Source organism: Homo sapiens, chromosome 16, assembly GCF_000001405.40.
Source record: "Homo sapiens chromosome 16, GRCh38.p14 Primary Assembly".
Classification (NCBI taxonomy): domain Eukaryota; kingdom Metazoa; phylum Chordata; class Mammalia; order Primates; family Hominidae; genus Homo; species Homo sapiens.
In genome coordinates this window covers 81079593-81096526 of record NC_000016.10, presented here as the reverse complement: position 1 = coordinate 81096526, position 16934 = coordinate 81079593, and the positions used below count along the sequence as shown (strand labels likewise).

Below are 16934 nucleotides of genomic sequence, written 5' to 3'. Positions count from 1 at the left end.
TCCGAGGTCGCGCCAGGCCCTGGAGTCCCCAGTCTCCGCGTGCTGGCCAATCAGACCCTGCCTCGCCCCCTCGCCTGGGAGTCTCCGCCCTCCACGCTCTGCCCAGTCAGGCTCTGTCCCGCCCCCGCGGCACCGCCTCCGCGCCTCCATCCAGCCGGCTCCCTCCGGCCGCGAACTGCCCCTCCCCGCCCCGCCTCCCGGCGCGGGTGGCCGAGGCGTAGCGCTGCGACCCCCGCACCCCTGCGAACATGGCGCTGCGAGTGGTGCGGAGCGTGCGGGCCCTGCTCTGCACCCTGCGCGCGGTCCCGTCACCCGCCGCGCCCTGCCCGCCGAGGCCCTGGCAGCTGGGGGTGGGCGCCGTCCGTACGCTGCGCACTGGACCCGCTCTGCTCTCGGGTAAGCGCGGCGGGCACGTGGGCGGCTGCTCCCTCCCCGCCTGGGCTGCTTGTCCCGGGCCCAGCGGGACACGGAGGACGCCGGGGCACCGCTCCTGAGCCACCGGGGCGGAGCGAGCGCGGACCCTGCCCCCTTCTTATTTCTGTTGGGATCCCTGGCTCTGCGGCCGCTTCTCCCCCTTAAGTAGCGGGAGGACCCGCGAGTAGCCTTTGCCCTAGGGATTGCATGCAGCCGGGAGGGGAGGCCTGCGGGACACCGAGGCGGGGGTGGCCCGGCGGGTCCGGCGGGCAGGTCGGCCGCTTGCTGCAGAAGCCAGGCACGTGTCGCTTAAGCGTCTCGGTGGCCTTAAGTTTATCTCCCATCTGCGTGCATCGTTGAGACCCCAAATGGGGAGGCCTTTAGTTTACTAAATGGACCGTTACTGAGAACTCCGAAGTAAAATTAAAACAGAAGCGCTTATTAAAATTAAAGCACCAGGCAGGGCGCGTTGGCTCATGCCGGAGGGCGGATCACGAGGTCAGGAGATCGAGACTATCCTGGCTAACACGGTGAAATCCCATCTCTACTAAAAGTACAAAAAATTAGCCAGGCGTGGCGGCATGCGCATGTAATCCCAGCTACTCGGGAGGCTGAGGCAGGAGAATCGCTTGAACCTGGGAGGCAGAGGTTGCAGTGAGCCGAGATCGCGCCACTGCACTCCAGCCTGGGCGACAGAGCAAAACTCCACCTCAAAAAAAAAAAAAAAAAAAAAAATTAAAGCGCCAGATCTAGATTTTTTTACTAGATAAAACAATCATAACTTTGAAGATTCAGCTATTTCCCCAAAACAAGTAAGATAAAGTCTTCTGGACTCAACAGAAGTTCTGCTAAAGTTTGTATTGGATCATTCATGTGTGTGCTTGCTGAAATGAGCCCTAACTCAAACGGACTTGAAATAACTGGGAAACCTGCCCATGAATGTTTCGGCCATTTGTGCTACTTCAGCACAATTATTGCAGGGGAAAAACAATTTTCTTTTTTTTTTTTTTTCTTTTTATTGAGACGGAGCCTCGCTCTGTCGCCCAGGCTGGAGTGCAGCGGCGTGATCTCGGCTCACTGCAAGCGCCACCTCCCAGATTCAAGCGATTCTCTTGCCTCAGCCTCCCGAGTAGCTGGGTTCACTGGCGCCCGTCACCACCTCCAGCTGAGTTTTGTATTTTTAGTAGAGACAGGGTTTCGCCACGTTAGGCTGGTCTCAAACTCCTGACCTCAAGTGATCCACCCGCCTCAGCCTCCCAAAGTGCTGAGATTACAGTCGTGCGTCACCGCGCCAGGCCAACAATTTTCTTTACGCCCAAATGTTTGATACACTGACTGCTCCTCTGCTTCGATTGCGTAGATCAGTGATGGCTCTTGTCTCATTAGCTCATTGTTTTAGAAACCTGTTTGGAGCTGGAATGGTTGATAAATTTATTCCAAAATTTGTAGCATAAAGATTTACTTATGCTGTCTTGCTAATAGTCTGTCCGCTCTGTTTCTGATAGGGATCCCTACATCACTAATTTGAATACAAAGGTAAAGCATTTCTCAGATAAGAATTTAGTTTCAAGTCTGTGGTTTTCGTTCCTTTTTTTTTTCTTCTTTTTTGAGATGGAGTCTCGCTCTGTCGCCCAGGCTGGCATCCAGTGGCAGGATCTTGGCTCACTGCAACCTTCGCTTCCCGGGTTCAAACACTTCTCCTGCCTCAGCCTGTGGAGTAGCTGGACGACAAGAGCACACCTCCATCTCAAAAAAAAAAGAGAAGAAAAATTGACTAATACTAATATAAAATATTTTATCTGACTAGTGACATTGAAAAAGGAAAATGCAAAATTTTCATAAATTGCTCACAACTCCTAATTTTCCGAGGCCAAAAACCACCTTTTTCAAGGCCCAGTTAGAAAGTAATTATTGTCCAGGCACGGTGGCTCATGCCTTTAATCCCAGCACTTTGGGAGGCTGAGGCGGGCGGATCACCTGAGGTCAGGAGTTCAAGACCAGCCTGGCCAACATGGTGAAACCCTGTCTCTACCAAAAATACAAAAAATTAGTCGGGCGTGGTGGCACGTGCTTGTAATCCCAGCTCCTTGGGAGGATGAGGCCGAATCACTTGAACCCGGGAGGCAGAGGTTGCAGCGAGCCTAGATTGCACCACTACACTCCAGCTTGGGCGACAGAGTGAGACTCTGTCTCAAAAAAAGAAAGTAATTATTTACCTAATCTATCCACTTCTTCCTGTCGGGCCAAGGGTTAAAGGAGAATTGTACTAATCATTGCCTTTAGCCTAAACAGCATGCTTAGTAAAATAAAGACTTAGGTCTTTGAATCACTGCAACCTCTGCCTCCCAGGTTCAAGTGATTCTCCTGCCTCAGCCTCCAGGGTAGCTGGGATTATAGGTGCCCGCCACCATACCCGGCCAATTTTTTGTATTTTAGTAGAGACGGGGTTTCACCATGTTGGCCAGGGTGGTCTTGAACTCCTGATCTCAGGTGATCTGCCTGCCTCGGCCTCCCAAAGTGCTGGGATTACAGGCGAGAGCCACTGCTGTTGGCCAGGACTGAGGGGTAACATTACCTGTAATGTTGCCGTCTCCCTCTAAACTTGGGGCCAACAATTTTCTTTACACCCAAATGTTTGAGACACTAACTGCTCCTTGTTAAGGAGAATTGTACTAATTACAATTAGTAATTGCTCGGTTGCTAAAATGAGGGTCACAGCAGCCTTACTCCTAAAATTATCTTCACAGGTAGGCAAGATGGCAAGGTCAAAGAAGGTAGTCTCAGGTGGTGTTTATAGTTGTCCAGTGCTTACTTTGAAAAGGTGTTTTAGCTTCAAACTGCTCATAATTGGCATATAACCGGCGATTTGTAGCAGAGTGAGAGAATTAAGTGTTAAAGACAAATAACTATATACTATCTATTTTCCTCAGAATCCTCTTAATAAACTTTAAAAAATCACGTCATTCTGCAACTTTTTTTTTTTTTTTTTGGAGATGAAGTTTCGCTAGTCGCCCAGGCAATGGTGCAATCTCGGCTCACTGGAATCTCCGCCTCCCAGGTTCAAGTGATTCTCCTGCCTCAGCCTCCCAAGTAGCTAGGATTATAGGCGTGTACCACTACACCTGGCTAATTTTTGTATTTTTAGTAGGGACTTGGTTTCACCATGCTGGCCAGGCTGGTCTTGACCTCCTTACGTCAGGTGATCCGCCTGCCTTGGCCTCCCAAAGTGCTGGGATTGCAGGCATGAGCCACTGTGCCCGGCCTGCAACATGATAATTTAAGGGGAAAAATATATATATTTTTCTCCCAAAGTGTTGAGATTACAGGCATGAGCCACCACGCCCAGGGATTTTTTTTGTTTGTTTTTTTTGAGACTGAGTCTTGCTCTGTTGCTTAGGCTGGAGTGCAGTGGCGTGATCTCAGCTCACTGCAACCTCTGCCTCCTGGGTTCAAGCAATTCTCATGCCTCAGCTTCCCAAGTCGCTGGCATTACAGGAGTGTGCCACCACACCTGGCTAATTTTTGTATTTTTTTAGTAGAGATGTGGTTTCACTATGCTGGCCAGGCTGGTCTCAAACCCCGGACCTCAGGTGATCCACCCGCCTCGGCCTCCCAAAGTGCTGGGATTACACGCATGAGTCACTGTGCCTGGCCTGCGACATGATAATTTAAGGAAAAAAAAAATTATTTCATTCCTTCAGCTTTTGAGTGCTTGCTATGTGGCAAGCACTGTATTTAAAATTGGGAAAACAAATGAAAATAAGATAAACCTTGCTGTTTCTTGGTGGGTACACAGCCTACTTCCTGGGGAGACTGACAGATGATCTCTAGTATGTTCAGCACCGTGTGTGTGCTGGGGGATAGTGGTACAGGGTGCCGTAAGAGCATGTTGGCTGGCCTAAGAACCTAGACTTGGTTAGACAAGCCTTTGGGCAGGAACGGACTTCTGAATCTAGACCGGAAGTAGTTAGTAAAGATGGTAGGGAGAGTCTTTCAGTCAAAACACAGTGTACACATCTTAAACTTTCTTACCTGAACGTCAGAGTGACCTGAAACATTCAGTTCTTTGAAGTGGAATGAAGCAAAATAAATTTCTTAGTGACACATTTTTTGACTTCTTCCACTGAAGGGGTATGAACTTTAGAAAGTTTCATAATTAAGGGGAAAAGAAAGCAATATTGAATTATATACTTGGCTAGGCACGGTGGCTCACACACTATTATCCCAGCACTGTGAGAGGTTGAGGTGGGAGGATCATGAGCTCAGGAATTTGAGACCAGTCTGGACAACATAGACCCCCCCATCTCTACAAAAATAAAAAATAAAAATAATAATTATACACTCTACTTACGTTGTGCTGCGTATCAGAGCTGTAACCAAAGCAATTGAATGCTGTTTTAAGTACTACTATCCTTTGGGTAAGGGGTAAAATGAGCCAGTGAGGCCTCTTTAAAACAGTATTTGAGTTAACCATTTTTCTATGAACTTACGTTGCATTGTTTTTAGAAAAATACTTGGTGTCAGAATATGAACTGTATTTAATATAGCATATGCTTTTTAAAAAATATTATTCTCTAAGGCAAGTACTTTTAACTTTATATCCTAAATAACTCTTTTTACTCTTGAACATTGGCCGGTCCTTCTTTCAGGATTCCCTGAATCGTTTGACCGTATCTTTAGAGAAGTGCTCAGTAAGTCGAGGGCTGAACCTGTCCAGTGAGTGGTGAGCAGAGCTTGATTCTCCACCAACCCATGGCTTAGCTCTGAGAAGACTGTTGAGTTGTGATCTTAATTTTCTTCTTTAAGCGATGGTAGTGCTATCTTCAAGGTTAGGCTTGAATTTGATTAAAGTAGAATTTTAAGAACTTAGTCAAATTATAGTTGTTCCAGGAGGTCAGTTTCATTCCTGTAAAATTTTACTTTGTAACCCAAGCTGCACTGAAGCTCTCTTAGGTCAACTCTGCCTAAAGAGGCACCTGATTATTACTGTTATTTTTTTTTTTAGGTTAAATCATTTCTTATATGAGCCATCTTTATGCTGCCTCCCTAAACCTCATCACCCCAAATTTGTCTTCAGAGGCACAGATTTTTTTTTCTGCAAGACAGACCAGTAATAGTTAAGTATACATTTGAAATATGCTCCAAAATTTTCTTTTGTGATTTAGGCTAAGTAATGTTAAAGCAGATAATCCAATCTCCAAAAGATGCACAAGGTGTTCAGATGAAGCCATCTTTGCTTAAATGGTACTGCTGTTTAAATGCGTCATCTCTATACATGATCTTCATTCTTTCCTGAGCCATGCACTATTTAAAGGTAGTGTCAACAGGTCAAACAGAAATTCTGGGAAAGTCTTTTGAAAGCAATGGTAATGAAAAGTGCTTCTTAAGAAGTAATGCTACTGCTTTTCTGAAATGTTGGTCTTCTGTTTTAGTGCGTAAATTCACAGAGAAACACGAATGGGTAACAACAGAAAATGGCATTGGAACAGTGGGAATCAGCAATTTTGCACAGGTATTGGATTATATTGAAATATTTGTCCCAGTGTGCTCTTGCATGATTTGCTTTATCTCTACCTTTTTAAAAGTGTTTAGGCTGCGTGAGGTGGCTCATGCCTGTAATCCCAACACTTTGGGAGGCTGAGGCAGGAGGATTGCTTGAGGCCAGGAGTTCAAGACCAGCCTGGTCAACAAAGTGAGACCCCGTCTCTACCAAAAGTTAAAAAAAAAAATTAGCCTGGCATGGTTGCTCATGCCTGTGGTCCCAGCTACTCAGGAGGCTAAGGCAGGAGGGTCGCTGGAGCCCAGGAGGTTGAGGCTGCAGTGAACCATGATCATGTCACTGCAAAATACAAAAATTAGCTGGTCTTGGTGGTGCACACCTGTAATCCCAGCTCGTCAGGAGGCTGAGACAGAAGAATCACTTGAACCTGGGAGGCAGAAGTTGCAGTAAGCCGAGATTGCACCACTACACTCTAGCCTGGGTGACAGAGTGAGACTCCATCTCCAAAAAAAAAAAGAAAGAAAGAAAGTAAGAAAACCAACCAGAGTTGAATTAAGTAAAACATAATTTAGTTAGGGCATTATGTGGTGTTTTAAGAGATGTTGCAAGCTTAACACTGAAAGTAGGAAACATGTCCTATTCAAGAAGGAAATGTGTGTGTTTTGTACTGGGCAATTAAGGAAAGAGGAAAAAGAAGAGCAGGGTGTTGCCACCATTTTGTGGGTCCAGTGATACACACGTGACCAGGAGGACGGGAAGAAAGAAAACCTCAATAGGCACAGATGACACAAAGGGAAGGCTTTTATTCAGCCCATCTTTTCTCTGTAAATTCCCCTCAATTCCATATGGCGATACTGTTTAAGAGAAAATGAGAAGCCAAATCCTAGCGTGTTCAGTGATTTTCAACTGGATGTATGTATTGGGTGAGGCGGGGAAGGGGGGATGTTAACTGATGGGAATGCACTCGTGTCACTTAATGATGGAGCTATGTTCTGATAACTGCCTCCTCGGGGATTGCGTCCTTCTGTGAGCCTCCTAGGGTGCCCTTACACACACCTAGATGGTACAGCCTATTACACACCTTGGCTGTATGGTACAGCCTTTGCTCCTGGGCTACAAACCTGTACAGCATGTTACTGTACTGAATACTGTAGGCAATCGTAACACACTTGGCCTATCAAAACACAGAAAAGGTACAGTAAAAATATGGCATAGGTTGAGCATCTCTAATCCCTGAAATACTCCAAAAATCTGAAACTTTTTGAGCACCAACGTGACTCTTAAAGAAAATGCTCATTGGAGCGTTTTGGATTCCAGAATCTTGGATGAGGAGTGCTCATGTATTAAGTATAATGCGAGTATTCCAAAATCTGAAATCCAAAACACTTCTGCTCCCAAGCATTTTGGACAAGTGATACTAACTATATTATAATTTCATGGGACCACTGTCATATATGTGGTCTGTTGTTGACCAAAATGCCATTAGGCGGCACGTGACTGTACAAAATTCCTCAGACATGTAAGATGCTTGTGTGTTGATAATCACAATTATATCTTCCTTGGCATCTCTGTATACCTACTATGAGGCCCAGTGTTGGATAGTTTTTGAGATGTTGTGTAAGATGTCGTCCTTACCTCCTAGAGTTTATTTGTGAGGGGAATTACCTACATGAGAATGACTTGCAAACATTACATGATGGCATCGGAACGGTGGGGTTGTAATTCACTTACCTGATGGAGAGACCACTTCTTTCTGGAGTCAGGGACTTCAGGGAGTACAAGGTGTGAGGACTATGATTTGTAGAATCAGTGAGCAGGATTTCAGCAAATGCTTTGGGGGCAATGGTGTACATAAAACTACAGAGGTGGAAGAACACCAAATATGTTCATGCCCAGAAGAGCTAGCAGTGTTTGCCGGGCGCAGTGGCTCACACCTGTAATCCTAGCACTTTGGAAGGCCGAGGCAAGTTGATTATCTGAGGTCAAAAGTTCAAGACCAGCTGGCCAACATGGTGAAACTGCATCTCTAGCAAAAAATTTTAAAAAATTAACCAGGCATGGTGGTGGGCACCTGTAATCCCAGCTACTTGGGAGGCTGAGGCAGGAGAATCGCTTGAACCTGGGAGGCAGAGGTTGCAGTGAGCTGAGATCAGGCCACTGCACTCCAGCCTGGGCAACAAGAGAGAAACTCTGTCTCAAAACCAAATAAAACAAAGAGCTAGCAGTCTTGTGTGGGGCAGGAGGCTTGTGTTAGGTTGCTAAAGCCTGTGAGCCAGATCTGGCTGGCGGCTGGTCTCTTGCAGCTCCTGAGTTGAGAATAGTTTTTTAAAATCATTTTATTTTACTTAGTTTTGGAGAACAGGGTCTTGCTATATTGCCAAGGCAGGTCTCAAACTCCTGGGCTCAAGCTATCCTCCCACCTCTGCCTCCCTAAGAGCTGGGATTACAGGCATGAGCCACCGCACCCAGCCATTTATTTTTATTCTTGACATGGAGTCTTGCTCTGTCGCCAAGGCTGGAGTATACAGGTGCAATCTCAACTCACTGCAACCTCTGCCTCCCAGATTTAAGTGATTCTCCTGCCTCAGCCTCCTGAGTAGCTGGGATTGCAAGTGCCTGCCACCACACCCAGCTAATTTTTGTATTTTTATTAGAGACTGGGTTTCACCATGTCAACCAGGCTGGTCTCGAACTTCTGACCTCATGTGATAACACCCACTTTGGGCCTTTCAAAGTGCTGGGATTACAGGCGTGAACTACCACACCTGACTGAGAGTAGTTTTTACATGTTTAAAGGATTTTAAGGAAAACTCAAGAATGTAGCCCCTCCAGTATAAAATATATACTAAATCTTCATTATAGGGGATTCAGTGTTTGGCTTATTCTGTTTACTGGAGGGTTTAGTTATAACTTCTTAGAGATTTTTGGTTTTGTCTTGTTTTATTTAGGAAGCGTTGGGAGATGTTGTTTATTGTAGTCTCCCTGAAGTTGGGACAAAATTGAACAAACAAGGTGAGTGTTCTTAGGATCTTAGAATGATCCATGCCATGAATTTTGTTTACATTGAATAGTAATTTGTTTGTACCCTGGATTAATTAGAGTGCTTTTTTTTTTTTGGAGACAGTCTTGCTTTGTCACCCAGGCTGGAGTGCAGTGGCACCATCTCGGCCCACTGTAACCTCTGCCTCCTGGGTTAAAGCGATTCTTGTGTCTCAGGCACGTGCCACCACGCCCAGCTAATTTTTGTATTGTAGAGACAGAGTTTCCCCATGTTGGCAAGGCTGGTCTCGAACTCCTGACCTCGAGTGATCCGCCCGCCTTGGCCTCCCAAAATGCTGAGATTACAAGTGTGAGCCACCGTGCCCAGCCAATTAGAGTGCTTTTGACCCAAGTATTAGGTTGGTGTAAAAGTAATTGCTACTCAGAGGCTGAGACAGGAGAATTGCTGGAACTTGGGAGGCGGAGGTTGCAGTGAGCCGAGATCCCATCACTGTACTCCAGCCTGGGCAACAGAGCAAGACTCCGTTTTAAAAAAAAGAGAGAAAAAAAGTCTATTAATATCGATATGTTAGATAATATCCTTAAACTAATGAATACCCTTTTAAGACATTCTGCTAAAGGTAGTTTTTTAACTTGATGTAAAATCTACATACAGTGAAATGCATGGACCAGAAGTGTACAATTCAGTGAGTTTTAACAAATGTATACACTTAAATAAACCTTCCTAGTCAAATAGATGACCTCTTCTCTCGTTTCTACACCATAGGTTTATTTTGCCTATTCTTTATATGAAAGGAATCACACAGTGTGTGTTACGTTTGGCTGCTTTTGGGATTTACCAAGCTTCTTGAATCTGTAGATTGAATTTTTTTTCGATTAAATTTGGAGACTTCTTATTTTAGTCATGATTTCTTTCTCTTCCCACTTCATTCCTTTTTCCTTCTCTGATTTGAGACATGTTCGTCATATCACTTGATATTGTCCTATAGGGTCCCTAAGACTGTTAACTTTTCAGCCTTTTTTAAACTGTTCTTTTTTTTTTCTTCTTATTTTTTTGAGACGGAGTCTTGCTCTGTTGCCCAGGCTGGAATGCGATGGTGCGACATTGGCTCACTGCAACCTCCGCCTCCTAGGTTCAAGCAATTCTCCTTTTTCAGCCACCCAAGTAGCTGGGAGTACAGGCATGCACAACCACACCAGGCTAATTTTTTAAATTAATTAATTTATTTATTTCGAGGTTTTGGTAGAGGCGGGGTTTCACCATGTTGGCCAGGCTGGTCTTGAACTCGTGACCTCAAGTGATCTACCCGCCTTGGCTTCCCAAAGTGTTGGGATTACAAGCATGAGCCGCCGTTCCTGGCCAGTAGTTCAGAGTTCATAATTGTGTTTTTTTTGTTTTTTTTTTTTTTTTTTTTTTTTTTTTTTTTTTTTTTTTTTTTTTTTTTTTTTTGAGACGGAGTCTCGCTCTGTCGCCCAGGCCGGACTGCGGACTGCAGTGGCGCAATCTCGGCTCACTGCAAGCTCCGCTTCCCGGGTTCACGCCATTCTCCTGCCTCAGCCTCCCGAGTAGCTGGGACTACAGGCGCCCGCCACCGCGCCCGGCTAATTTTTTGTATTTTTAGTAGAGACGGGGTTTCACCTTGTTAGCCAGGATGGTCTCGATCTCCTGACCTCATGATCCACCCGCCTCGGCCTCCCAAAGTGCTGGGATTACAGGCGTGAGCCACCGCGCCCGGCCGTTTTTTTTGTTTTTGAGACGGAGTCTCACACTGTCACCAAGGCTGGACTGCAATGGCATGGTCTCGGCTCACTGCAACCTCCACCTCCCGGGTTCAAGTGATTCTCCTGCCTCAGTCTCCCAAGTAGCTGGGATTATAGGCGCCCACCACCACGCCCGGCTAATTTTTTTGTATTTTAGTAGAGACCATGTTGGCTAGGCTGGTTTCAAACTACTGACCTCAGGTGATCTTCCTGCCTTGGTCTTCCAAAGTGCTGGAATTACAGGCATGAGCCACCACGCCTGGCCCAGAGCTTATAATTGTTATCTGATACAGGGTACTTCACTGTCACTGGAACATTCTAAAGTTTTCATTTTGTTTTTTTCTGAGCCACAGCTAAGTTGCAAGAACATGGAGTTTTACTGAACCTACACACATCTGGCATTCAGGCACATCACCATTTGTTATTTACTGTGTCCAGGACACACAGATAGGTCCACTTTATTGAGACAATATATACCCTTCTCGTGGTTATTATAGCCTGACAAAACTTATGGTTTTATTTTTAATTAAAGAAATGTAGGCCAGGCACGGTGGCTCACGGTTATAATCCCAGCACTTTGGGAGGCTGAGGCGGGTTGATCACGAGGTCAGGAGTTCAAGACCAGCTTGGCCAACACAGTGAAACGCTGTCTCTACTAAAAATACAAAAATTAGCTGGGCGTGGTGGTGCGCGCCTGTAATCCTAGCTACTTGGGAGGCTGAGGCAGGAGAATGGCTTGAACCCGGGAGGCAGAGGTGGCAGTGAGCCTAGAACACACCATTGTACTGTAGCCTGGTGACAGAGCGAGACTCCGTCTCAAAAAAAAAAAAAAAAAAGAGCCAGGTGCAGTGGCTTATGCCTATAATCCCAGCACTTTGGGAGGCCGAGGCGGGCGGATCACGGCATCAGGAGATTGAGACCATCCTAGCTAACACAGTGAAACCCCGTCTCTACTACAAATACAAAAAATTAGACGGGCGTGGTGGCAGGTGGGCGCCTGTAGTCCCAGCTACTCGGGAGGCTGAGGCAGGAGAATGGCATGAACCCTTGGGAGGTGGAGCTTGCAGTGACGTGAGATTGCGCCACTGCACTCCAGCCTGGGCAACAGAGCGAGACTCCATCTCAAAAAAAAAAAAAAAAGAAATTTGGAATTTTAAAATCATAGCTGTATGACAGGAATCTACTTTTTCGTATTTTATGTTTTCAAGTAACTGACTTTTAACATTTCATGTTTTCTTTAATTTTTTTTCCACTTAGATGAGTTTGGTGCTTTGGAAAGTGTGAAAGCTGCTAGTGAACTCTATTCTCCTTTATCAGGAGAAGTAACTGAAATTAATGAAGCTCTTGCAGAAAATCCAGGACTTGTAAACAAATCTTGTTATGAAGATGGTAAGCTGTTGCTAGAAATTTCTCAAGGAATTACTACTACAGTAAATATTTTATCTAGAATTTAAAGCAAGTTTAGCTGATTGTGACTTCATCTTTTTCTACTTCTTGGTACTAAATAGAGATGTTCTGCTTTAAAAGAAAAACAGAGGTTAGTTGAATACTTAAAGTTATGTTTAAGATTTCTGGCTAGGCGCAGTGGCTCGCGCCTGTGATCCCAGCACTTTGGGAGGCCAAGGTGGGTGGATTGCTTTAGTCCAGGAGTTGGAGACCAGCCTGGGCAACATGGTGAAACTCTGTCTCTATAGAAATACAAAAATTAGCTGGCTGTGGTGGAATGTGCCTGTAGTCTCAGTTACTAGGGAGGCTGAGGTGGGAGAATTGCTTGAACCTGGGAGGTCAAGGCTGCAGTCTATAGTGAGCCAAGATCGCACCACTCCACTCCAGCCTGAGTGACAGAGCGAGACCTTCTCAAAAAAAGAAAAAAAAATCTCTGATGATAAAAGCATTACCTTATTTTGCAGTTTCTTGATATCAGTTGTAGATTCTTTGGTTTTGGTGTAAACATCTGCAAAGTATTTACTTTTTCAGACATAAAGCAGCCACTCATATTGTGTGACATGGGAGGTAAAAAAATATATATTTTGCATTAATTTTTGGTTTTCTCACATTTTCACCCTTATAATCTAATCAGGTAAGCTAACAGCAATTTTCTCTATTTTGTAGATGAATAGAGGCTCCAAAGGATTTATCTGTCAGGGTCTCATGGCTGATAAATGGCAAAGCTAGGATTAGGTTGTAGTTCTCTTTTGTCTGTCACCTAGCCCTTCTAATTACTACTGCTTTCTAATCCCGTTAACCTCAGTAGTTAGTGTTCCATTTGTTAAAGACATACCTGGTCTTGTGTATTTGGATCATATATTTAAGGACTTATTTTTATTATTTTTTTGAGACAGAGTCTCCCTCTGTCGCCCAGGCTGGAGTGCAGTGGCGTGATCTCGGTGCACTGCAACCTCCCCTTCTCGGGTTCAAGCACTTCTTCTGCCTCAGCTTCCCAGTAGCTGGGATCAAGGGCAACTGCCACCACGCCCAGCTAATTTTTGTGGTTTTGGTAGAGATGGGGTTCCACTATGTTGGCCAGGCTGGTCTAGAGCTCCTAGCCTCAAGTGATTTGCTTGCCTTCGCTTCCCAAAGTACTGGGATTACAGGCATGAGCCACCGTGCCCGGCCCTTAAAGATTTAAATGTCATTTTCTGATGCTTATTACAACCTAAGAGTTCTTAATTTATTATGGTGGAATCTATTCTAGCCATAATTATTTTCATTTGTTATATACAAGTATTTTAATTCTTAAGGCTAAAATTTAAAGTTCTATGAACAAATAATGTATGGTTTTTGTAAAGAATACAAGATTGAGGCGCTCAGAAATTTATTTTACGTTTTGGATGAATTTGACTTTTTAAAAAGTTAATGTGGAATATAAGGTTGTCTTTTGGTTGCAGGTTGGCTGATCAAGATGACACTGAGTAACCCTTCAGAACTAGATGAACTTATGAGTGAAGAAGCATATGAGAAATACATAAAATCTATTGAGGAGTGAAAATGGAACTCCTAAATAAACTAGTATGAAATAACGCAAGCCAGCAGAGTTGTCTTAAATTAGTGGTGGATAGAAGACTTAGAATAGAAACTTTTAGTATTACCGATGGGGAAAAAAAAACTACTGTTAACACTGCTAATGAAAGAAAATGCCCTTTAACTTTCTAATGATTATAGATAAATATAATATGCGTCTTTTTCACAATATCCTATGATTTTTAGACTAGGCTCTAGTGTTCAGAATTCATGAAATTATCCATGGTAAAAACTAGTTATAAAAATTACATAATTCAAAGATAACATTGTTATTCTTAAGCCTTATATAATATTGTAACTTGCATGTATCCATACCTGGATTTGGGATGAAATACTTAATGATCTTTCCATTGGAAATAACTGGAAGTGAAGAGGTTTTGTTGCTTGTACAGTGTCAGATGAGGAACACCACTATCTTAATTTTGCGATACACTGCATTTGCTGGTGCTATTTTTATACAGTGAAGCAACAGCTTTGCAGCAAAATAATAAAATACTTCTTCGTTAATCATGTTTGTTTTGATGTTAATATTTCATTTAGTAACTCTGCTAGTATTTGTGAAAGTGCTAACTTTAACTTACGGAAAGTTACTTTTTAAAAGGAAATTTAAGCCAGAACAATGCAAAGCTCCAAGAAAATGTTTTCTTTAGTCACAAATCTGGTTTTTCTTAAGCCAAGATCTGTCACCTTTAACATAATAAAAAATAAATCACCAACTTTGATTTTCTATCATGCGAGGTCTGAAGAAAGAAGAGGAAAGACAGAGGAAGGTGGAAGTTTTGATCAGTATAGCACATGGTGTTTTTAAGTTGTTAAACCACGTTCAGGTTTCCACTTAAGTCATGGGAATAAAAGTGGACAAGGACTGAAGCTTTATGAGCTCAGATAATGGACTCTGATAGTATTCTTTGCAGCTTAAGCATATTTAGAGTGCCAAAAGTTATTTCCAAGTAGCTAATACACAGCATACGCTAACCAACTGTAATATGCTGATAATATTGGGGTGGGGGGTCTATATGCACATGCAAATATATATATACATACACACAGAGCAAGAGGAGATAAACTCCTGTATCATTTTCTCAGTTACTAGAGGAAAAGAGAAGTATTCATATAGTACCACCTTCTGGTGGTGAATAAACAGCAAAAATAAGGACTTAGCAAAAGTAGGTAGGTAAATAACATACAAATCTTTCCTGCTCCTCAGCTGAAGAAACTTCATTCCAAGCCTCTGCCAGTAGCCATATCACTGCTGAACTATATCTTTGTACCCTTAAATCTTAAGTATTGGCCAGGTGTGGTGGCTCACGCCTGTAATCCTACCACTTTGGGAGGCTAAGGTGGGTGGATCTCTTGAGCCCAGGAGTTTGAGACCAGCCTGGGCAACATGGTGAAACCCCGTCTCTACAAAAATATAAAAATTAGCCTGGCATGGTGGCATGTGCCTCTGGTCCCAGCTATTTGGGAGTCAGGTAGAATCACTTTGTGTCTGGGAGGTCAAGGCTGCAGTGAGCCAAGATCACACCACTGTACTCCAGCCTGAGTGACAGTGAGAACGCATCTCAAAAAAAAAAAAGTATCCAAGGTATCCTGGATGATTGTCTATATTGCGTAATTGTCAATCATGTTAATTGATCTGTCTGCTTTGAAAATAGATGGGGATGAGTAATAATTACATAGATTTACCCTTTAGTTTTGAAAGTTCTCTAGACACATCGATTACTACCATCATTTCACAGGTATGAAAGGTGATAGGATAAGAAATTTGTTAAATAGTTGGGTGGTCGTGGTAATGATTTTCATATTTCCTGGTCTACTCTTAATCAGTCCCTTAGCAAATTTTACTATAAAAATATTTAAATGGGACAGGCGCGGTGGCTCACGCTTGTAATCCCAGCACTTTGGGAGGCCGAGGCAGGCGGATCACGAGGTCAGGAGATCGAGACCATCCTGGCTAACACGGTGAAACCCCGTCTCTACTCAAAATACAAAAAAATTAGCCGGGCATGGTGGCGGGCGCCTGTAGTCCCAGGTACTTGGGAGGCTGAGGCAGAAGAATGGCATGAACCCCACATGCGGAGCCTGCAGTGAGCCAAGATGATGCCATGCACTCCAGCCTGGGCAACAGAGCGAGACTCCGTCTCAAAAAAAAAAAAAAAAATTTTTAATGGGAATCTCAGGGAAGAGGGGGAGGTTGAATGTTCTAAATAAAGGTGGGAAGCAAAAGTGGCCATTCTAGAGTATGAAAGTCCGTGAGTGGTTATAGTCTCTGAAGAAGGTGGGCAGTTTTTTATTTTTCCCTTTTCCTGCCAAAGACACACATAACTTGCTCTGTAACAACCCCTCTTTTTTCAAAGAGCAGAACATTTGGCAACTTGCTCTTCCACTATTTAGAACACAGAGCCAAATCCACTGTCATTGATGTCACAGTGCTGCCAAAAATACAGGCTTTGAATGGCCCTCCAAATTGACTGAATCCAGGGAATTTAATTTTCATGACCTCATATTCCTTTTGAATGGTTTTGGCATTAGTAGAGCAGATTAATAGAAGTTTTGAAGAAAGCTTTCTAGTAACTAAAACTTGAGAAACTGAATAGGTTACCCTGCAAGTGTTAAATTTTTTTTCTGCTATCACCTCCCAGGTAGTTTTGTCGTTAGCTTTAGGTTTTGTTTTGTTTTTTGTTTTGTTTGAGACGGAGTCTCGCTCTTTTGCCCAGGCCCTCCACCTCCCGGATTCAGGCAATTCTCCTGCCTCAGCCTCCAGGGTAGCTGGGAATACAGGCACCCGGACCACGACCATGCCCAGCTAATTTTTGTATTTTTAGTAAAGATGGGGTTTCGACATGTTGGCCAGGCTGGTCTCAAACTCCTGACCTCAGATGATCCACCCGCCTCGGCCTCCCAAAGTGCTGGGATTACAGGTGTGAGCCACCGCGCCTGGCCAGTTTTAGGTTTTAATAAACCACTAGGGAGCTCTGCATGGGCATACTACTATGAAAATGAGGCTGGCCATTCAGATCAGTTCCTCAGCAAATCAGAATTTCTGAATTTTTTCAATTTCTTTTCTTTTTCTTTTTTTTTTTTTTTTTTTTTTTTTGAGATGGAGTCTGGCTCTGTCGCCCAGGCTGGAGTGCAGTGGCGCGATCTCGGCTCACTGCAAGCTCCGCCTCCCGGGTTCACGCCATTCTCCTGCCTCAGCCTCCCGAGTAGCTGGGACTACAGGCGCCTGCCACCTCGC

The 16934-nt window shown here is 44.1% G+C and overlaps 1 protein-coding gene across 5 annotated transcripts, besides 1 other annotated feature; it reads left to right on the top strand.

Moving 5' to 3' along the window:
- Positions 46-715: a silencer, noted in NCBI's record as "silent region_7751". NCBI's record gives its function as "represses an Ori minimal core promoter by ATAC-STARR-seq in GM12878 lymphoblastoid cells {active_cell/tissue: GM12878}" and the evidence as "EXISTENCE:reporter gene assay evidence [ECO:0000049][PMID:35858748]".
- Positions 132-14582, top strand: GCSH (glycine cleavage system protein H). Of its 5 annotated transcripts, none has more exons than NM_004483.5 (5): positions 132-396; positions 5847-5926; positions 8863-8926; positions 11933-12064; positions 13564-14582. In NM_004483.5, exons 1-5 carry the CDS (start codon positions 249-251, stop codon positions 13659-13661), a joined length of 522 nt encoding a protein of 173 aa, NP_004474.2. In that variant the 5' UTR covers positions 132-248; the 3' UTR covers positions 13662-14582. The 5 variants fall into 5 exon arrangements, 4 of the variants coding, with proteins under 4 accessions (NP_004474.2, XP_016878625.1, XP_047289856.1 ...); XM_017023136.3 differs by having other exon boundaries at positions 13546-14412; XM_047433900.1 differs by lacking the exon at positions 132-396 and adding an exon at positions 2938-5530.